At 39.8% G+C, this 22927-nt stretch overlaps 1 protein-coding gene across 5 annotated transcripts in view, besides 2 other annotated features; it reads right to left on the reverse strand.

Annotated features, from left to right (window-relative positions):
• JPH1 (junctophilin 1) overlaps positions 1-22927 on the reverse strand; it is an 86841-nt gene that overhangs the window by 60449 nt on the left and 3465 nt on the right. For all 5 annotated transcript variants that reach the window (NM_001317830.2, NM_020647.4, XM_047421996.1 and 2 more), the window contains exon 2: positions 19713-20472. In NM_001317830.2, coding sequence (NP_001304759.1) covers positions 19713-20472 — 760 coding nt within the window. The remainder of the gene's footprint in view (positions 1-19712; positions 20473-22927) is intronic.
• Positions 610-749: a silencer, noted in NCBI's record as "silent region_19299". NCBI's record gives its function as "represses an Ori minimal core promoter by ATAC-STARR-seq in GM12878 lymphoblastoid cells {active_cell/tissue: GM12878}" and the evidence as "EXISTENCE:reporter gene assay evidence [ECO:0000049][PMID:35858748]".
• Positions 5920-6421: an enhancer, noted in NCBI's record as "H3K27ac hESC enhancer chr8:75213303-75213804 (GRCh37/hg19 assembly coordinates)". NCBI's record gives its function as "activates a minimal SCP1, AML or CMV promoter by ChIP-STARR-seq in naive H9 embryonic stem cells {active_cell/tissue: H9 hESC(naive)}" and the evidence as "EXISTENCE:reporter gene assay evidence [ECO:0000049][PMID:30033119]".

Consider the following 22927-nt stretch of genomic DNA (forward strand, 5'->3'; position numbering starts at 1 on the left):
TCTATTTCTAGAAACTCCTACTGGTTTCCTTCAGGCCCTGCTCAAGACTCAAGTCTCTAGAAGGTCTCTTGGTTCCTCTAAGTGATTAGGGACCCTCTGCTGGGCTCATGTATACATTGATGATATAGTCACCCATGTGACTATATGTGTGTGTGTGTATATAGTTCTATATGTGTGTACATATAGTTCTTTGCTATATCACAGCTCTCATCACCTCATATATTATACGCTGGCTTTCTCAATTTCTCAGCCCAGAACACTCTGAGGACGAACACTGTCTTTTCACAATACTTGGCATGAAAATATTTAACAATTGTTGGCTGTAACAGTTTATTTAGCACCTACTAAGTGCTACTCACTGTGCCAAGGGCACTCACATATACTTGATCTCATTTAATTCTCCTAAACTCCTGTGAGCTGAGTACCAAATCATCCCATTTTCTGGGTAAGAAATCTAAGGCTTAACAGATCTCATAGACAACACTTGAATAAAATCTCCCCCCTCAGCTCAGTTTAATAAGGTCCCAGAGTCTTTCTGGCATTCTTGGCCCTAAACAGAGGGCAGGGCTAGTATCCTGAGGAAAAGCAGGATATTCTCTTGCAGCTTGCCTGCAGATGGGTCTCTCGGGTTCTTGCTCCTAGGCCTTGATCTGAAACCTGTTCAAGGAGTGGGTACAGTCCCCAGGTCATGAGTCAAGAAAACCTCCAAAACTGCAACTCATTGGTTTTAGCTCAAACCACTCAGGCGTTGCGTGTGTGTTTTACCCGAGTCCTGTGAAATCACTATCACTAACCACAAAGGACTTTCAGTTACGAATAATCACCATTTCCACGAAAGGGAACAACCTGGTATGTAGCAATCTCAGTAAGGACACACACACACACACACACACACACGGAGTATTGGGCTAATAGATGAACTATCAGAAACCCGATTAAATCTTAGCCTAATACTGCCTATTCTAAATCTCCAAGGAAGAATATTAACTCAAAGGAGATAAATCAAAACCAAGTATTTGGAGTGCCTATAATGTCTTGGTAACTGTGCTGGGTCCCGTGCAAGGTATAGAAAACAGAGTTATTTTTATTAGCTATATAGTATATACTAATAAGCATAAAGTAAGCCACTGACATCTAAAAATGACCTATTCATAATTATCGCTTTCTTTCCCAGAGTGGTATAAGCAAACATTTTATTCTGGGTACAAACCCAAAGTTAGTTCTCATTAAAAATGATCCTAACTTGCTTTAGATTTATGCTTAACTATTGGGAAAAATATTTTATAGCAACTCTATCTGGCTTTAAAGTTCACTAGTTCAGTATTTATTCAGGCTTCTAAAAGTTATTTAGAATTTAAGTGAGCAGAATATCATATTAATCATAGTGATGCAATGAATGGGGAAAGGAGGAACAGAAAACTCAAAGGAAAAAAGTTCTTCAAAATGTCATGAGAAAATCCAGTTATGCAAAGCCTATTTTAAATTCTTAAAGGTCTTTATAGCTGCTTGATTCAGGGCCTGCAAATATATCAGCTTGCCTAAAAATTTCATTTTTTTCTACCAAGAAATCCCTCTTCCCTTTCTCAACTTAAGATATAATTGACAAATAAATATTGTATATATTTATAGCGTATAACGTGATGCTTTGATATATGGATACACTGCAGAATTATTAAATCAAGCTAATAAATATATCCAAGAAATCCCTTCTTAACCTCCATGGCTTGAAAACTTAAAACTTTTACATCTCTGGCTAACTCGAAGTCCACGTATAGACAGAAAGTATAAGGCATAAGCCAATGCAAGCTATGATTTTGCAGGAGAAATTGATACCTGAAGAGTTCAGGACATAAACAATTTTATATTTTGACTCATTTGTTCATCATTTAGTAAAAATATTTTTATCTTTACATATTTTCATGTTTGATGAACAGTAAAAAAAACTGCTGGTGGACTACAGCAGAACATTCATATAACTAGTATTTTCTTAACAGAAAAATCAGACTGCCCAACAGAGACTCTTGTACTTCATCAAACACACCCAACACCTGGCTGTTTCTTTGCAGGAGCAGGGTTGATCAGACTCCGACGGGCAAGGAGTCCTCTCAAGCAGGGACTTGCCATCACCAAAGATTTGCAGCTGGACTGCACTCCCGACCAGCTTTGGAGACTATGTAGATTCTCTATTACAAACCAGAGAGGGACGTCAAACAGAGTAAACATGTGACAAGTTCCAGCAGGGACCAAGGAACATAAAGATACAGATGGTACCACAGAACATAACACAAAACAGACCCTCAGCTCCCCTTGCTCTTGTTCTCAAGCTGCATCCAAGTGTGCTTCGCGGGACTCTTAACTCACTCACTGTTCTTTGCCCTACCGACTCCATGCAGTTAAAATGCCTAGTAATGTCCTCCCAGAGGTACAGCCCCAGACCACTGCATTTGGGGCCTGAAATTAGTCATTGCAAAGTTTTCACACTGCTTAACTGGTAAGACAAATATCTTCATGTCAGCCATGTGCTCATTCTTTTGCTCCATTTTGCACACAACTAATAAAAACTGGAAAATGCCTTTTCTAAGGCAAAGAAAGTTATAGATGTGAATTTCATTCTTTTATATAAACGTAGTCAGAGTCAACATGAAGAGTTAAAGCTTTGATAGTGTGTGGCTATCTAGATAGTGTGATGACTACTCTTATTACCCCTTAAATAAAAAGTACTTGCTAATTTGATTTTAGATGATGAAATTATATAGAGAAATTACATTTATAACAACAATTGAACCTTGTCTAGCATTTTGTCTTAATAGTAGCACAAAAATAATTCTCTGCTTCTTTCCACACACAGGTCATCATCTCTGCCTCTTCTTTAGAGATTTCTCTATTCCAGCCCCCTCTACTCACTTTCCTAATAATTGCTGTTATAAATGCCAGTGCCAATCTCCAATTTTGATGTATTCATATCCTCGGGAAGCTGCTAAGTGCTCAAGGCTTCAAAGTACTGTTCTTACTTGAAACTCATGTTATCTTTTTATCTATCACCTTGAATGTCCACACATCAGATTCACTATCTTTCTCCCCATAATGTCTCCATCAGCCTTTATGGTGCCACTTATGCTCTTAGCTAATTGTACTCACATCCTTAGAACGTTAACTCCCTTGTATACAGCTGGTTGTTGTATACAAGATGGGTTTTCCTTTACAAATTTCAAGGGTGCAGTTCTTTATTGCCTAGATGCATTTATTCATGTCCTTTATGATCTCATCCCCAACTTCTGCTGCTTGCAATCTACCTTGAGCACTGTAGCTAAAATCACTCTCCTCACATGTTGTTTTGCTCCTGTTAATAACTTCCTCGGCACTCTGAAACGGTTTCCACTTGTGTGTTGCATAATACCCTGGTTAGTGCTTTTCAGATCCTTTAATAGTCAGGCACCCCTTATCTAATTGTCCTCTTCTCTTGCCATGACTCAGCTGTACTCGACGGCACTGCAACGCAAAATCCAGGTGGGTTTGTTGTAAGACTTTTCAAAAGAGGATGAAGCTACAGGGTACAAATCTGACAGTAGGGCTGTAGCTAATATCTCCACCACTTTCCTAACTTTCCTACAACAGCATTCATTTTCAGAAATATGAGTAGTCATACCACTGCTGTTCTCCACAAATTTATTACCTTTCTGGATGTTTTTCCTGGTGGTAGAATGAAGGCACGAGAGACCTGTGTGCATATGAAAGATCCTTGTTTTCAGGTTCTACTACTGGCAATGGGAGCCATTACGAAACATCAACCCAGAATATCAGGAGAAGATTAAACAGGCTATGAAGCTAAAATTAAGACCTATTACAAAAAGCCACGAAGACGACACTGCCCACAAATAATGAACACTGGTGACCTTTACTGCCTTTGAGGGGGTTTTTTTCTCCTCGGGCTGTACATCATTAGATGGGGTCTTCTCCCACCTGGTAAAATTTCGATCCACTGTGAACAAATCTTCCCTTAGCTTCCCTTTAAAATGTTGCCGAAGGACCAACTTCTTTACGAAGTCATTCCAGAGCAACTCTTCCTGGCACCAGACACACTAATCATACCGGGACCTTCTTTATTCACCTCGTCTTTCTAATATTTCTCCCTTTTTCTCATTATTCAGTATTTCTTTAGGGTGTTAAGTGTAGCCTAAAGCTGCCTCCTTACATATTTTACATTCAGCCTAAAGGTTTCTCTGCACACCACGAACTATAACCTAAATGGAGTTGTATACAGATTGTAGCTTACTCTTGTGTCAATCACTGAGTTTTGGGCCAATCAAAGGGGGTCAACGATTCGAGCCGTGTTCAAATAAGGCAAATGACGAGCTGTAGCCAATCAGCTGTTTCTGTACCTCACTTTCCTTCTTCTGTCTATAACCCTTCTTCAACTACACAGCTGCACTGGAATCTCTGTACCCACTCTGGCTCGGGTGGCTGCCTGATGTGCGAATTGTTCTTTGCTCAATTAAACTCTGTTAAATTTGGCTAAAGTTTTTCTTTTAACCACAGCCACATATGCATATTTACATAGACACTGTTTATGGGGAGCGGGGTGCCTGTCTGAGGCTTGTTTTGTTTTTTCCCTTTGTTGGTGTATGCCTTCTATTTCCCTTGAAGTATCTTTAACATGTTGTCATTGGGTGCTGAATACAGTGGCACATCTTTAACTGTTACAAATATAGCAACTGTAATTTAAAGAAAACTTTTAAACAATAAAGTTTTGTAGCTGAACTTTTAACACCACAAAAGTGATTCATTACTAAAAAGTTTAAAGAAAAAAAGAAAAGAAAACCTTCAATATGTTCTTCTCGCCCTCGTTTTCACTTACGGAATTAAACAGTAGTGACTACTTACTCTAGAATCACATTTTCATAGTTCCAACAATGGGCTGAAAGTTACTCTGATCTAGCGAAGAGTTAGAATAATTTTTCAAAATGCTTTTACTGTCAAATTCACACAGTACCATGAAAAACAACAAAAACAAAATATCACTAGGCTATAGGCCAAGTAAAAGTCTTTGGAACTGCTTTATAAACAAGTCAATCCACTCCTTTGTTAATTCCTAGAAGACTAGCCATTTTGACGTTTATATAAACTATGAAACCTTCATGGAATGTGGCAGAGCACTAATAAACAAATACGGGACTGACTGAATTGCTTCGTGTTATTTTTTTAACTACCTCCCATGTACATGCATTTTCTCTAATTGACTCTAAGCTTGTGTGTGCGTTGTGGGGGGCGGAGGGGGTCAGGCCCACGCTTTTTCCTCCATTCACATCTAGCACAGTACTAAGTGTGTAAGTATTGATAATACTTCTGATATAAACAAGAATAACTGGTAAGTGAGTTGTGTGCGTGGAATGTTTACTGCTACTTCAAAATGGTTTTAATTTTGGTTAGAGGGTCCTAACTATAATCTTGTTCCGAAGTATACAGGATGACATTTTCCCTTTTATACCATCTTCTGATTGAGGAAAAATCTGGAGTTGGAAAAGTAAAATGTCAATGTTGTCTCACTACATTTACTAACTGAATAATTTCTATAAGAAGCATTGGTATTGTTATGTGAAGTCAGGTTCAAAAACAGGCGAAAGGAGAGGAATTCACAAAAGAGTAGAGATCCAAACTCAGGTTTTCTGTGACAATCTGGTCAAGTTTTCCACTTCCTCACCCGTTTCATTGATAAGAAAGAGAGACCCAGAAAGATTACTTGTTTCATATGTACTTGTTTCATATGAATGATGGAGCCTTACTGGCCCCCCGCCCCATTTCCCCAACCAGCCGTATACCGGGAATGAATCACTACATTTTCTAATTGAATAATTTATCACCCATATACTGGGAATGAATGAACCTTTTTCATTAACCTTAATAGGGGTATTAGAGTATCATCCACACAACATCTCAGACTTGCCTCTGTTCCTAACCCACTACTTGCAGTCCATCAAGTCCTGCTAATTTTATCCCTTTTGTCTCTGCCACCCTGCCCTCAACCAGGGTCTTTTATCACCTCCTCCACAGACCAGGCCTCCGGTCCTGGCCCCACTTAAATTCTTTCTCCATGAAGCAGGCAGACCATCCATTCAAAGGCAGATGGCTCCCTTCTCAAATGCCTTTGAAGACTCCCCAAAGCCAAAAGCAGAAAATGCAGCTCCCAAACCTTGGGAATTTTGTTTCTTATCATATCCTCCCGATGCACTTTCCAAATTTTAGTGTGCCCAAGAATAACCTGAGAAGTCTGTAACAAATGCAAGTTTCTGGACCTTATGCAAAGAAACATTAATTCAGTACTGGGTGGAGGACTAGAGAATTTTAAGCACCCCTTGTGATCTGCTGCAGTGGGCGGACAGATCGCTCCTGGAGAAAGCGTTCTTCCACTATCCAACTGCTTGCAGGAACTCACACTGTACACTTTCATTCCACTCCACCTTTGCTCAGGATCTTCCTCCAATATGCAACACTGGCCACTGTTTGCTCCCTAACTTCCACTCATTCTTCACCTGCACAGGCTCAGCCTCATCCCTGTAAGCCCCATATGCCCTCAGTGTTCTTCCCTCTTTTGCACTGTCATGGTTTTTTTCTTAGAATTTACCATGTTATACTGACCTTATCTTTTTATGATTGTTTGGCTCACAAGATTTGTGGCTGTTGAATGAACAATGTCTGTTAAATGAAACAGTGGCCAAATGAAGTCTATGACTAAATAATACTGTTCCCAGACAGATCTTCTTTTATGAGCCTAAGCAGGGTACATGGGTTCAAAAAAAATTCCTATCCCAATTCTCAAAACCCAGTGGAGGGGAAGGGCTTGGGGCTCTGACGCTGCCGTGTGCTTGCCATGTGAATTTCCTATGCCTCAGTTTCCTACCAACTCACAGGGTTGCCATGGGGATGAGAGGAGATGACAGATGTCAAATTCACACAGCAGGTAACCACTCAAGACCTGTTGGGTCTTTTTGTGTGTAGCCAAAAGGTATCACCCAAATTACTGACCTCAGACCACAAGAAGAGAACAATGTGCACCAGTGCATAACACACTTAGGGGAAACCTAGCAGCATCTACATTGTTTCCTTAGGGAAACCTAGCAGCATCTACATTGTTTCCTTATCTGGAAACACTGCCAAAACATTCATTTACTGCAAATTGCTAACTTTAATGTTTCTGTACACAAATACTGCTAATAAGATCCTGCTACCACCCAAAATTGTATCTTATGGACTCTAGGTAGAAATAATTTTTTAAACTTTTTAAAGAAACCACTAGTAATTTTCCCTTTTGCATTATAAAATTTGTACATATATTTTCTATGCTCTATTGATAGCATTCCTGTTATCAGGTGTAAAATTACTTATTGGAAGAGACATTTTATTTCTTAATGCAGTCCATGCCTGCTATGGAACTTGAGTGTAATCGCTAAGGACTGACAGGGCTTAGGCAAGGAGGGGGACATGGGAGAAGGCATTCAGGCAAGGAGTGTTGCTGGTGCAAAGAGCTCCAGGAAAGTGCCTGTGACAAGCTCACCCAGGATGGGTCATAGGTGCCTCTCAGTGGGTCCCTCCAACCTGCAGCCTCATAGCACCTGCCAGTTGCACAAAGGTACTGTGAACCTGGTAGGGTATTTGCTTTTAATGACAGGTTTTGTTTCTTATTCATCTCTGTATTCCCAGGGCCTAGTGCCATATTTGGACAGAGCTGGCACTAAATAAATGTTTGCCAAATGATGTTTCTTTAGCATAATAATTTGTGAGAGTGATATTTTGTTCCAGTAGGTTGCCAAGAAAAGAAAAAAAAAAAAAAAAACAGTCCAACAGAGCTTGCTCACTGGGTAGGTCCCTTGAGCACAAACCTTAGAAAGCATAACTTCACAAATTCAAGAATAGAAATTCAGATACCTGAATTGCATTGTCATAAGGCAACAAATTCCTAGTCACTTAATGTGAGAACTGCTTTACTTGTACTTCTTAAAAAGAGCTGTGTCTAGTATTACATACAAGGATTTCCTCTTTCTCTGCATGTCCCGTAAGTCTTTCCCAGGGTTTGGCTCCAAGCTCTGCAAGCACAGCTCAAATCTCTGAGTTCCAAATACATCTTCCCCCATTATCTTTTAGGCTAGCATCTTGAAATTCAAGAAGCCAAAAATCCAAACTTATCTTCCTCCCTAAATCTGTCCCTTCCTGTCTGGTATCCTTCTGAGTAAACAGTACCACCATCCATTAGTTGGCTAAGCCAGGAACTTGGAGCCACTCTGATGACTCCTTTTCTAGGCTTACCATGCTTAACTCAACCAGCCACAGGTCCTAGTGAATCTGCTTGGGAGGCTCTCATTCAATCATTTGCTTCTTTCCATCCCACTGCCACAGCTTAGCCCAACACATAGGCTATCACTTAGATCACTAGTTAGCAGATAACTATTTTTTTATTTTTAGAGACAGGGTCTTGCTCTGTCACCCAAGATGGAATGCAGTGGCGTGATCATAGCTCACTGCAGCCTCAAACTCCTGGGCTCAAGTGATCCTCCTGCCTCAGCCTCCCAAAGTGCTGGGATTAAAGACGTGAGCCACTGTGCCCAGCCTGTGACTATTTAATCTGTCTCCAGTTTCACTGCCCCTTACTGTCCCCATTCCCTATACCACCTGCAGCCAGAGTGATCTTTCTAAAGATGATGATGTAATTCTGCCTAACACCTATCAATAGCCTTCCCCTATCCTTGGGATAATGTCCAAACTCCCTCTTATAGGTTCAAGAGACCCTCCTCATCTCTCAACACCCTACACCTAGCACTCTTTCCCAACCACAATGTACATTTTACCAGACCCCAAATACACATGGTCCACTGTCCTTTGCACCCACCTCTATCTTCTGGAAAACACCCACACATCCTTTGGTTCTCACTCTGGATGCAGCCTGCAGACACCTGCCTCCAGCCCCAGGCTATGATCAACCCCTTCCTATGCGTTACCTAAGCAAGGTGCTGATAATCCAATGGGTAATAACTGCTTTTTCATCTGTCCTAACCAGACTCCATGATGAAAAGGATTAGGTCTTAATCATAATTTTACATTTCCATTGTATGTAATGGATTAATGTAACTAAGAATGATTAAAGTTGGTATTTCATTAAGAACTGAAGCTTATAAAATGGGCCTGGGCTACCATCACCCCTTCCAGGGCATTTGAGTCTTTACAAAGTAATCTATTAGTCCACAGTTCAACTGATTTTCAAATCATTTGGCTGAGCAGGAAGCGGGATGGGGAACAAGTGTCTGGGGCTGGTGGGTGAAATGAGGGGGCAGTAAGCCCCATCATCTGAGGCTCTTCCATTCTTACCCTTGAACTCTAAATTGCTGGCTTCCATGGGTTATCTCAACATGTCAAAACATGTTCCCTACATGTATCTCAAATGCTTCCCTAATGGATGGAAGGTTTGAAATCTTGAAATAATAATTCAAAAAAGCTCCCACACCAATTTAAAAAATGGCATTGATAGGGTTTCTAGACCAAGCAACTGAGATCAAAATTCTATTGATTCAATATAGTAAAAGTCACCAAAATTTTTACCATATTTAAGTTTAAAAATTAACAAAAAATAATAAAATTGTTTGTTAATTTCTGACACTCTATTGCATTAAAAGTGATAGAAAGTGAATTAATGTATTTTACTTGGCTTAAATAACTTTCTTTTGGCCCACATGGAAGTCCTAAGAAAATTGACTTCAAAGAGTTGTACTATTTGGGAGCCAATCTTGATTCCTTACATATTAATTAAATTTTTGAGAAAGCAGCTTATTTTGAATTTAGCATATTATACAAACAAATGTGAAACAGCAACTAAAACAGAAAGGTGAAATTATTAAAAGCTGATTTGACTTTATTCTCAAGAGACTGTTGTACTAAAGCTGAATGACTTACATAAATACCTTTGGCATTTGTTGGATCCTGCTCCTAAACACAATGTTCATATTTCATCTATAATAAGAAAAGCATCTCAAAGATTTGCAAGGCACTAGTCTTGCAAGCGTCCAGTTTGGTGTCTTGAGTAAAGTGAGATTGGCAGAGTCAGCTTAATCCATAATGGAAAGTTGTGAGCAGGGTGCTTCGGCTGCCTGGCAGCTGCTGCTTGGAGAAGCCTACCAGCTATGGCAGCATGCAGGCAGAACTCTGCCACTTGCTTAAAAACAGAGTTTCTCCAGGTCAAAGCTGAAACTCATACAAAGCATACAGGATAAAATATGAATGCAATCCCATTTTGGGGGCTTTCCAGAAAACATAGGAGTAGGGTGGTTTTCATTACAAATGATGCATTAGAAACTGCTACTTTAATTCTTCATATGTGTACTATTGAGAAAGGGTCATATTTCAGGGCTAAATGAGCTGGAATCTGTTGAAGTTTGTACTATTTAAGCAAGCTCAGGCTTCTACAGTTAAAACAGGGTCAACATGTGTCCCCACAACCTGGCTTATCATCATCCTGGAATTTCAGTTTTCCCTTCCAGTCTTCAGTGCCAGCTTTTACTAAGTAGATCTCTGCAGAACTGAATGTTGTCTCATATCCCATTCATACCCTATACAGTCTCTTCTCCTTGCCCTCCCTGTTTAATCAAAATGGAAGTCCATGCCTACACAATTCAAGTTTTTAAAACCATGTTTTTTAATGGCTTGAAAGTCTGGAGAACTGTGTGACCTTCCCATTTATTATGGCCTAAGACTAATTTTCATTATATTTGTATTCTCTTGAACCTACTTGTTAGTCACGAAAACACATGTCCATCTCAATGCCTCCGAGTGTCTGAATGGGCCCGGACTTGGGAGGGCTGGAGAAAGAGTTTTTTTTGTTTTGTTTTGTTTTGTTTTAAAGAAAGATCTTTAGAAACGAGATATCCTAAGGAGGTTTTACAAGGCTGTCATAACACAAAGTGTTCCCATGTTATGCGTAATGACCCGTTGCGTGGTGAGTGATATGACATCAGAGCTGAAGGCCAGGAGCTGGCCAGAGGAGTTTCTCTGTGCTACCAAGTCACACCTATCAGTGCTATTACATCCAAGCCTAACCCCTCGCTTGGAGGTAGGGGCAGGACAGAGCTGGCACCTAGGTCATCTTTCCAGTTTCAGCTGTTCCCTCAGTGCATGCACACAGAGAGAATTCTCAATGATTGCTCCTGGGCCCCTTGATATGGACAATCATGTCTTTCTTTAAAGAGCCCAGAAAAAATGTGACGAAGTTAGACTAGGCACCCCCCCTTTCTCCCATGGGAAATGGACATTCTTTGATAAAGAAGAGAAACATATTTGAAAACTATATATTCTTCTAGGAGCAAATTCCAGAAGTTTGGTTGAAACACCCAGACTCTGAAGTTCAGAGGATAACAATATAAAGTATAAAGTACAACAAAAGGATAACGTATAAAAGGATGATGGTGATCTACACTAACTTTTTTTTTTTTTCTTGGAGACCTCGCTCTGTCGCTTAGGCTGGAGTGCAATGGCATGATCTCTGCTCACTGCAACCTCTGCCTCCCAGGTTCAAGCGATTCCTGCCTCAGCCTCCCGAGTAGCTGGGATTACAGGTGCCCGCCACGATGCCTGGCTAATTTTTGTAATTTTAGTAGAGATGGGGTTTCACCATGTTGGCCAGGCTGGTCTCGAACTCCTGACCTCAAGGGATCCGCCCGCCTCGGCCTCCCAAAGTGCTGGGATTAGGGATGTGAGCCACCACGCCCGGCCTACACTAACATACTTAATATAAAGGTAAGACCTTTATTATCCTACGTTATCTTCAGAATAGTACCTGGGGCATAACTTGATATTTCCTTGCTCACTTTTCAGTCTTAAAAAAATAAAATTGCCTGCTAACTTCACACAGATCTGGTGCTGGAAATGGGCTGTTTTGATACATGCTCACATCTGCACACAGGTGGTAAAGCTCTGTAGATTTAACTCTCTTCCTTTGGTTATCCCCATTCCTGCTTCCCAATCCTTCCTTCCCTTCCTGTTTCCTTCCTCACTTCATCTTTACCTACATCCCAGTTTGTCTTCTTGGTCTTCTATCAACTTTCACTTGTGAAAATGGTACTTCTAGGATTGCAACATTTTCCTAAATAACAACTGCTATGTGTGGTTTATAGTTTACAAAGACCCGTGATACCCACTCTCCCATTCAATTCTCAAAACAACCCTGCTATGAAGGGTAAGGTAATAATTGCTCCCTGTTCACCATAACTTTTCTGAACCTCAGAGTCTGGGTATTTCAACCAAGCGTCTGGAATTTGCCCTAGAAGCACTGGTTACAACAGTTGCAAAGAGTGACAGGCAGCCAAGGTGCAGATATAGAAGAATACAGGTAGCAGAACTAAAGAAAATAACTAATGCTTTCCTTAGCAATAAATGCCCACATTTTAGGTGATTTTGTCCTAAAATTTCTTTAACTATTTAACAATCTATTCATTAAAATGACTCAGAAGGCATCAGAAGGATTTCCCCTTCCCGTTAAAATCACTTGTGCTAATTACTGAAAATTAACCAGAGCACCAGAAGAAAAAAAAATCTGTAGAAAAGGTGATCTAAACTTTGTTTAAAAATATAATACAACCACTATCATTACAGTACAGACATAACGATAGCTTATAAACAGCTTTGACTTGCAAAAGATCCCCTTGTTGAGAATAATTTAAGAATTTCAAAGTCCTGGCCCTTTATAATAACTTAGCAGAGAATAGGCTTTTTTTTCTGATATTGGTAATAGTCAGTTTAATTTGGATCCATAATGTGCATTGACTCATAGTTGACTTTGGGTTTTAATTACTTATGAGTAAAATGTGAATCAAGTCAAGTGATCTTGTGAATAACTGTTCTATCCCAGCCAACTTTATGTGTTAAATTAAATGATATTCTTTGAGTCTAAGTAAAATGACCTCCAAACAAGAAAAACTTTCCAAAAAAATTAATAATAAGCTCCCACATTCTGGTATCTCACATGTTTTGGTGCTGTCAAATACAAAAGCTAAGCCAATGTTATCACAGTTAGGATAAGCTGACTTCCTGGAGTTTCCACATCTGGAAGGGAATCTCTTACATGTATCACTGACCAGCTCAATACTTATGAAGAATGGAAATAACAGTTTGGCTCAACCTGATGCTCTTGTTCCCTGGTTATGTCCTGTAACAATGTTGACCTAATTAAGGAAAAAGTTACCCGTAGCACACACTTTGACATTTTCTGCACTCCTTGACTATTGTTAGATTATAGCATGAATTATGAGAGCTAAGTTTCCATCTTTAAAATGTGGTTTTGCCCAGCAAAACAAAATTAGGAGCACTGGCAGTGGTAATTCCCTAAGTTGTGAGAATTTAATTAATTCATTCACCAAATATTTACTAGAGCACTTACTAATGTGCCTTGATCTAAGCTCACTGCTGGGTGTACAAAAGTGAGCAAAGCTGACTTCAGAGTCAGCCCATCCTTCCCAATCTAGTTGGGGTGAGGGATATTCAACAAATATTGTGAAATTAAATATCAATTTAGACTAATGGGGAGATTTTAGACTAGAAGTGGGCTAAGAGAAGCGGGGTTGAGGAAAACTTCCACTATGAAGGAACCTAGGCTTAAAGCAGAGTGAGGACCCAGCAGCCTGAGGAGCCAGCCAGAGGGAGCAGGGACAGGGGCTGAGAGCTTCTTTCCAACAGAAAGCAAGCTGGCATGGTTGAACCACTCTGAGTATGGGGGAGGAGGGGAGATCTGCATGAAAATGCAATATATCCTTTTTTATACAAAAGTATGAGGAATGGTTTTTTAAAATCCTACAGGAAAAGTATGTATCGTTTTTATATTTAAGTCCAAAATTGGCAAACATGGCATCCAACCTTAGTTCCGAGCTGAACAGGGTGCAGAAGAGACTCCCTCCTAAGATTACATGTCTAGGTGCCCTGATCATCACCTGAAGTGCCAGTAATGGTCAGGGAGAGGTTGGCAAAAGGAGCAGCATAGTCCCATGCGACTGGCCACCTATCCCCATCACTGACACTTCCTGGTAGTACGGGGAGCCTGCCCAGCTGTGTACCAATGAGCTTCACTAGCTTAAGTGAGGCTGGTCAGTTAGCCAGAGTCTACAAAATGGAAGTTACCTACTAACTTGCTAACCTCCTCACTTTATAGTATTTCTTCTTATCTGCCTGATATAACAAAGTCAATACAAGCAAAGGCTTGTGGTTCTCAGTCGCGTGAGGCCAGCTCTCTCCCACCCCTCCTACATCTTCTATCTTCTTGCAAGATAATTATTTCTTCTAATATTCAGATCACACCAAGCTCTGCTTCTGTCCACACCTCTTCCTAAGTGATCTGTTCATTTCCACAGAAGTGGGGCTTTCTAAGGGTCACTTCTTATTTGCTTTCTCAACCAAATGCCTTAAGATTCTTTCTTTAAATATTTTTCTCAAGGAGTAGTGACATCTTTGAACACCTCATTTAAGGAATTATTGGAGACAAGAGTCGATGGAGTAAAAATTGACGAAATGAGAAATATAGTTAAAATGACAGGAACAGCTGAAGGAATTAAGGAGGCAAAAGCTAAGGGAATGAAAACTGAATGCCTAAGAAATAGAATGCAAACAACAGGAATGGTGGGATGATCTTGGGCAGAGCCTCAGTCCCTGCCACTGAATGTGGGGGGCTTGGACCAGATATTCTCTCTTGCCCATTCCAGATCTGAAATTGGGGACTTTCTGTCTCCTCTACCAAAACAGATTCTGCTTATTATATTTTCTAGAAAGTAAATTCAGCATATTGGGGGATCCAATTCTAAGTTATAAGGCTCTAGTTATAGTTTAGGGCTCTAAAACAGCACTCCAGTGACTCAAAAGGTTCTGGTTGGCCAAGTTACCATCAAGGGTACACACTGACAAAGGAAAGACCATGGAGCCTGGGCTTAGGTACTGGCTCCACTCTCCTCAGTTCTAGTAGCTATGTCTCAGAGTAGCATCTTCATCTAAGAGCAGAGCAGTTGGGATCCAGAACTAGAGGTGGTATGTCAGCTACTAGCATGGAGCAGTCTCAGTAGCTTCTAGGTACACTCATTTCTTGAGATATTTAGAGTTGCTCTTCCACCTTTTGAACATTTCTTAAAAAAAAAAAAAAAAGGTTGAGACCCTTTCTCAATCCCAGATGGTGATTTGTACCCTCAGGACCAAGACAAAAGGGAAATAAAATTTTGTAAATCTTATAAACACAGTACCTTTTGGAGCAGAGCAGAGGCCTAAAAATAAGTTCCAGGAGTCAGCAAATTATAAGTATCCCTTATGGTCTTGACGCTAAGTGTTAACCTGCTAGAATCTATTAACTCTATATCTACGATGTGATATCTACTATCTACTGTTATGTCATCCCCATAGTCCTTGATCTGTCGGAATTATACAGGGGCCCATAATAAGCCTTCTGAAACAAGCCTCCTGTATGTGTTTACTGGGGAGCAACACAACTCCCTCTTCAGAGAAGCAAAGCAAAGGTCCACAGATCCACCATACTTTCATGAATCTTTGGGCCAAAGACAGTTTGTTCTGTGTCTCCTGGAGACATTATTGGAGAATATAATTGTTTTCCCTTAGAGCCAACTTGAACCTTTGCTTCAAGATAAAATAGGATGATGGTACAAGGGTGCGTCCATTTCCCAGGGACTTAAATAACAAATAAAAGTCTCTAAAGCATAAGAAATAACACAAATGGAATGAAAACATTACAGGGACAGTGTTGTGATCTTGGGTAGAGCCTCAGTCCCTGCCTCTGAATGTGAGGGGCTTGGACGAGATGCGCTCTCTTGGCCTTTCCAGATCTGAAATTGGGGGCCTTCAGTCTTCTCTACCAAGCCATCCTTCCACCTCAGTCTCCTGAGTAGCTGGGACTACAGGCGTATGCCACCACACCCGGCTAATTTTCTCATTTTTTGTAGAGACAGGGTCTCACTATGTTGCTGAGAATAGTGATTTACACTACCTGGGTGGACAAACTGAATAGTTGATAACTATTCATTGATCATCTCCTTTTGTTGCTAATGATGAACTAGTGACTTCAACAGCAGCAGCTACCAAGAGACTTAGTTTCTAGTTTTTCTTCTGTCTGCACTGGGCTAGGTGGGAAGAGTGTCATCTTATGTTCTTAAATTTTCAGTAGTTTTACAAACAAAAACATTGATAACAGCAACCATAGAGGGGTCAGATAGATGTTCTGTACAGATATTGTGTAGATATTCTGGCATTAGAAAGAGCCATGGTTAATGACAATAATGTAGCTAAAAGTCCTATCTCCCAGGCAGCAAATCTTAAAAGAATCTTTTCTTATTTTTAAGGCTTTTTAAAATTTTTTATTTTATTATTATTATACTTTAAGTTTTAGGGTATATGTACACAATGTGCAGGTTAGTTACATACATATACATGTGCCATGCTGGTGTGCTGCACCCATCAACCCATCATCCAGCATTAGGTATATCTCCCAATGCTATCCCTCCCCTCCCCCCACCCCACAACAGTCCCCAGAGTGTGATGTTCCCTTTCCTGTGTCCATGTGTTCTCATTGTTCAATTCCCATCTATTAGTGAGAACATGTGGTGTTTGGTTTTTTGTCCTTGGGAAAGTTTACTGAGAATGATGAGTTCCAATTTCATCCATGTCCCTACAAAGGACATGAACTCATCATTTTTTATGGCTGCATAGTATTCCATGGTGTATATGTGCCACATTTTCTTAATCCAGTCTATCATTGTTGGGCATTTGGGTTGGTTCCAAGTCTTTGCTATTGTGAATAATTTTTAAGGGTTTTAAAAGACTGTAGAACTCTAAAATCAGAGCTATTATAAGGGGAATGTCATTCCTTTAACTGCTTCCTCCAAAAACAAGTTACAAAGCTGTAATCGGAAGTATTCATTATATAATAGCAAGGAATCTGGGAAAAGGACTAAAACAGTGAAGGTAAGTAAAATATAGAAGGTTAATTGAATATATTTATTTTTAATTTGTTGATTGTGTCATCCGAACAGTATTTTATTTATTGTTGTAAGAACACTTAACATGAGACCTACCTTCTTAACAAATTCTTTTTTTGTTTTTTTTGAGACAGGGTCTTGCTGTGACACTCAAGCTGGAGTGCAGTGGCACAATCACAGCTCACTACAGTCTCGACCTCTGGGGCTCAAGCCATCCTCTCACCTCAGTCTCCCAAGTAACTAGGACAGGTGTGCGCCACCGTGTCCGGCTAATTTTCTTATTTTTTGCAGAGACGGGGGTCTCACTATGTTGCAGAGATTGGTCTTGAACTCCTGGGCTCAAGAGATCCTTCTGCCTCAGCATACCAAAGTGCTAGTATTACAGGCATGTACCATAGCACCTGACCTTGACAAATTCTTAAATGCAAAATGCAGTATTGTTAACTATAGGCACAGTGTTGTAGTGCAGATCTATAGAATGTATTCATCTTGAGTAACTGAAACTTCGTATCTGTTGAACAGCAACCCTCCATTTTCCCCACCCTACAGTCCCTGGCGACCACCATTTTACTCTATGTTTCTATGAGTTTGACCATTTTAGATCAAGTCAGGTCATTGCAGTATTTGATTAAGTGAGATCATGCAGTATTTGTTTTTCTGTGACTGACTTCTTTCATTTGCATAATGAATTAAGCATTTTAAACATAGCTAAGTAACTATGAAGTAACTAACTGGCTAAAAGTATAAGGTCTTAAACTAAAGATCTCTTGATTATAACTATATAATACAGTATTCCCAAATGAAATAATACTACCCCCAAAAGACTTGCAACAGAGAGAACATGGCTAGGACTTGGGTGAGGGTTTTATGATACTAGCATAATCAGAGATCATCTCTGCATTGCCAGTCGCTTTCTGTTATACAAACTCCTCCAATGGAAACTAATGATAAGTCGTTTGTTAAAGTGTTCTGCACAGGTTCATTTTTCACCTCCCAAGACTGAGCTGACTTTAGCATGTCACTAAGTTGTAACAAGAAAACATGGAAGAATCCAAGTGTGCATTTAAAATTAGAGGTCAAGGCCTAACAAATGTTTATCACTAGGTCTAAAAGTAAGCCAGCAAGATTAGATGTGCTGAGTATCTGATCTATAAGCAAACTGAAAAGCAAAGTAGATCCAAAACTGTGATCTGAAGTAAAAGATGCCTGGTAGAGAAGACAGGAGAGAGAGAGACCCTTCATTAAAGTTTGTGCTGATCAACAAAAAATAATAGCTTTGAAATGAAATTAGTTTGGGATAAAGATGAAAACCTTGAAGACTTTTAATATATAATATAATATATATCTAAAAGTAATGCAAAATATGCAACCTTATTTAGTGGTAGCCCTACTTATTTTTTAAGTAGAGGAATTAAAAAAAAAAGAACTCTAGAAGTACTAAGTTGAACCATATGATGTCACCATTTTTTTTTGTACATTAAAAAATTTGAACATTGGAAATTTCATATGGCTCCATCAAAAAAAAGGGAGGTTCATTAATTCAATGCCAATAACAAAAACCTGAAGACATGCTAACATTTTGTGGTTTCAAAAGGGCGTTTACTTCTGTGGAAGAGTGTTATTGAAGCAGAAACAGGATTTTTAATATTCTATGCTACATTTATGCTTCAAGTCTTACAAAGCTGTGGCTAGTCAGTACTCACTTAAATAAGACTAAAAATAAAATTTTCCATTTATTACCACACCTTTTTCTTTTTGTCTCACCTATGATATCCTTCCCTAATAGAACTTTATTCCCAATAGATTTTTCCATCCCTCTTGCTGGATCCCTGAAACCAGCTATTAATGGTAAAACTTCAAGCACGTAGTCCTTCTGTGCCCACACATACACCCCACTTGTCAATCTATTATTCACCGGTTTTCTCCTACTCACTCCAGCCCTTCTCTACTGCTCTTCTTTCTTCCAACCTTGGCACATTGAGAGTCCCATCTGTCCATGTCAGGTTGTCAGGTTCCCTCCACCCCTTTCCTTTTAATACACCAGTGACCTAATCTCTTCTGCATAGAATGTGGCGATTCTTGTAGGTCTCTTTGCCTTTCCCATGTAGCTGTTGTTTTTAACAATGCATGCCAGATTTTGTCATGTTATTTTCCACTTTTGCCATATGTAGATTTTGGTGGCTGTCTCAAAACCAATTTTACCTATAAGACTTCATAAACAGAATCTGAATTGTATAAGCTAGGCTAAGTGTACATACCTCCGATGTAAATATCAGAATAAAGGTACACATCTATACTAAGTATGTTTCTACGTGGATTGCTATTTTCTTTTGGTACACAAAACACAATGCTTGCTATGGCAGCATTTCAGAGGTCCTTCTTACAAAAAAAAGAAAAGAAAACAGCAACTTTCCGGGCTCAGGAAGATGAGCACAGGGTCTCAGTGAACTCCCTCACGCTGTTAAATATGAGGGAAGTAATTTAGAACAGGAAGGGGAGCTCAAAGTGCCTTCGACATTTTTTGATGATGGGAAGTTTCAGAACAGTGCAGGTACATTTCTGACTTTGATTCTACTGAGTGTAATCATTTTTCACCTTTGATTTTTTAGTAGTTGTAGAAAGCATTTAGCGATGTCACTGGCAGATAGACAAACATAATATTTGATACTCCATTGTTCTGACCAACCCAGCAAAACCAACCACCCTGCATTTACTTACCTTGAATTTGCTATTTCCACTTTGGTTCTGGCCATGGCAGCTGCCCTTTGGGCGCCTTCAATTGCTCTGTCCACCTTCTCCCTAGTTTTTGTATGTCTTATTGGTATAAGCTGCTTCCTTATCCCACGGACCAGAATATTATTTTTGTATTTTCCCTCTTCTTTGGAGCCGTCAGGAAACACGGTACAGCCATATCCATGCCTCTTGTTATTTGCCCACTCCCCTTCATACTTCATGCCATTGGAGCGCTCGCTAACGCCGAAGCCGTTGCGCTTGTCGTTCTTCCACTCGCCCATGTAGGTTTCCGTGGTGGTGGCGTCCACGTGGTCTTCCACCGGGCAAAAATCACAATCTACATCGCCAAAGCTGATCGTGGAGTTGGCATCGCTGGAACTAATTCTGCTCATGGCCGCGTCGCTGCGGACAGAGCTGCGCTTGCTCGAGATGGAAGACTTGGATTCGGACTTGCGAAGTTTCATGCTTCCAAGAAGGGAGCCCCTCCGGAAGAGGCCGCCCTTCTTCTTGCCCGCTAGCTCAGCGTCTGCGTGGAAGTTGAGCACGAAACCGCCGCGGGTGCCGGCCGGGCTGTCGGCGGCGGCTGCGGCGTCGTGGAGCACGCTGCCATTGCTCTGCTCGCTGCGCAGCGAGGCCAGCGAGGTACGCAGCGGTGAGCGGATCACCGTGGCCATGCCGTAGGGCACGCTCTGGCGCACGCCGTAGCCATGCCGCATGCCTCCGGCCCACTGGCCCTGGTAGGTACCTTGGAGAGACCGCAAGAAAGCACCGTGAGTCGGGGGCAGAGCTGCACCGTCACCTGCACCATCCAGCGCACACTGGCGCAGGCCTGCCCAAGGTCAAATCTGACCCATTTCCAAGTCAACCCTGGGGGATACTTTGCATCCACTTGTGAATCCCCGCCCTGTAATTTTGGGTGTAAGGCTTTAATGTCATTGCACAGAATTTTCTAGTAGTCAGATAATTTTTGCTTTTCATTAAAATTTTATGCAAGTATTTCAGAGGAAAACCACTACTTTCTAATACAAAAAGTGAACACTGGGAAACAACATTCTCCTCTGAAATTAATGCATCAAAAATTCCTCTTGGGAAGAAGACAAGGAAACAGTAGAAGATGAAATGAATTCTATGTGTAAATTTTATTCTAATATTACTAATTTAGCTGGAAAACTGTAAAAAATGACTTTTAGGTCTATGTCAGTATAACATTCCAAGAAGTATACAGGCTTAAATCGGAATACTTGGGACACAGTCATCAAATGAACGTCTTAAATTTTCTGCTACATTCAGCATCTCTTTTTTTAGTGTAGACAAAACTGTTGAATATTCAGGATTATCATTTGAATTTGGGTGAACCTTTTTGAGCTAAGAGAGAATCGACAACCACAATATATATTATGAATACAGTGAATTATGAAAAAAATGAGTAATTTAACATTTTTGTGCTTCTAAGTGAAAAGGCCAAAGCTTTGTGCCGTATCATTTGCCAAATCTCTGCATCCTCTATGGATTTCCCTAGCTGCCACTGCATTGTGAATCACACCACAGACTAGAAGCACCCTGAGGGCAGGAATTACTTCGTATGAGAACACAAAATTCTCATGTGTCCTCTGGTCTGTGTTTGTGGATGGAGGGTGTTTGATGACTATGTTGACGGTAAAAAGCTATGGTGGCTAAAAAGTATACCCTTTACTCTTGGAGAAACTGATGTAAGGCCAGATGAAATCTTCTACTGTTACCATTTTGGACTTCATCTCAGAGGAAAGGTATATTTGACACTATCTATTAAAATGTTGATACCAGATGACTCTGTCAACAAATATTATGCTTTTTCATGATAGTCTGTCATCTAGAGCATTTGTAGTGAATTTTTTGCTACTAAATAAATAAGCAAAGACATTAAAAAATAACCTGGTACAGGTTTTAAAATAATCTTAGGAGGAAATGAATGTTAAATTAGGGAATTTAGAAGTTTCTTTTCAAAATCAATTTCCTTTAATTAAGGGTAAATTTTAATTTACAGTATCCCTCAAAAGAAGCTATCTGGAAAATTTAAAATGTAATTACTTCTGTGTTATTCATAACAATTCACAATGTCATAGAAAACAAATAATGATTAGTCTGTCTTGACCTCTTTCCATTTCTGATTATATAGATCTACCCTGCAGTCACTTTGCATTTTATATTTCCATGCACAGATTTCCATTGCATGGCACATATTCATTTTCAAAACACCGGGCAAAAATGCTAGTGGTTTTATATAACTGTGTTAACAATGGCTGGTTATTTCATTGCACTTAAAAGTTAAAACCATAATGACTCCCAAGTCAACGGTTTTGACCAATTTCAAGACTACCTTCTCTTTTTGTTCATTCTGGCATATGTGACACAGGCAATAGTAGATATACAATGAAATACTAAGTGGGTCTGGTACTGTAAATGTCATATTCTGGGTAGATGTGAAGTCTTAACTTGACATCTATGAACTTCTGAGGAGGTGGGTGGCCCACAGTTTTCTCTGAAAGATTAACTCAAGAGGATAAGATAGTCATGTAAAACATTTCAGGCTAAGAAGCTTCCTATTGAATACTGGCCATCTCCAAATACCGCCATCTTAACAGGAATGGGAATGGAATTATTAGGAAATTTTGACTTTGACTTTTCCTTTGCCTATACAGGTAAAATTTAAATTCTAGGATGAAAGTTTCACAATCTGGCTTGAAGATACTAAAATAAACCACCTTATTTTTAATATTTTGTTGGTTAAAAGAATGCTATAATCACATCCTCCTAACTTTTGTCTATAGTGACAAGTTAATTTTGCTAGAACAATTTGCAGAGATGCTGTTTGATATCAATAAGTATCTGCACTTTTAAAACACAGCCATACCATCTTGGTAAATGTTTAACACTGATGGAAAATTAACAGCTAGTTTCTTTAAACTGTTATCTCCAAAAATAAGACTAGTACAGTATTTAGAATTTCCAAAAAAGTATGGCTTGAAAATCCAAGCTGTTTAAGGCAACAGCAATAATTAGAAAGTTTAAGTCTCTGCTTAACTGTCAAATAGGGAAGGGGGGGACAAGAGCATTGGCCACATTCCTCTCCTATTTTGTTAAATCACAGTATATGAAAGAATTCCTCCACAGAATTGCTAGAAACCAATTTGCAGTCAAACTGTTAGCAGTTCATCTGAAAT

This window comes from Homo sapiens, chromosome 8 (assembly GCF_000001405.40).
Source record: "Homo sapiens chromosome 8, GRCh38.p14 Primary Assembly".
In the NCBI taxonomy this organism is placed as follows: Eukaryota; Metazoa; Chordata; class Mammalia; order Primates; family Hominidae; genus Homo; species Homo sapiens.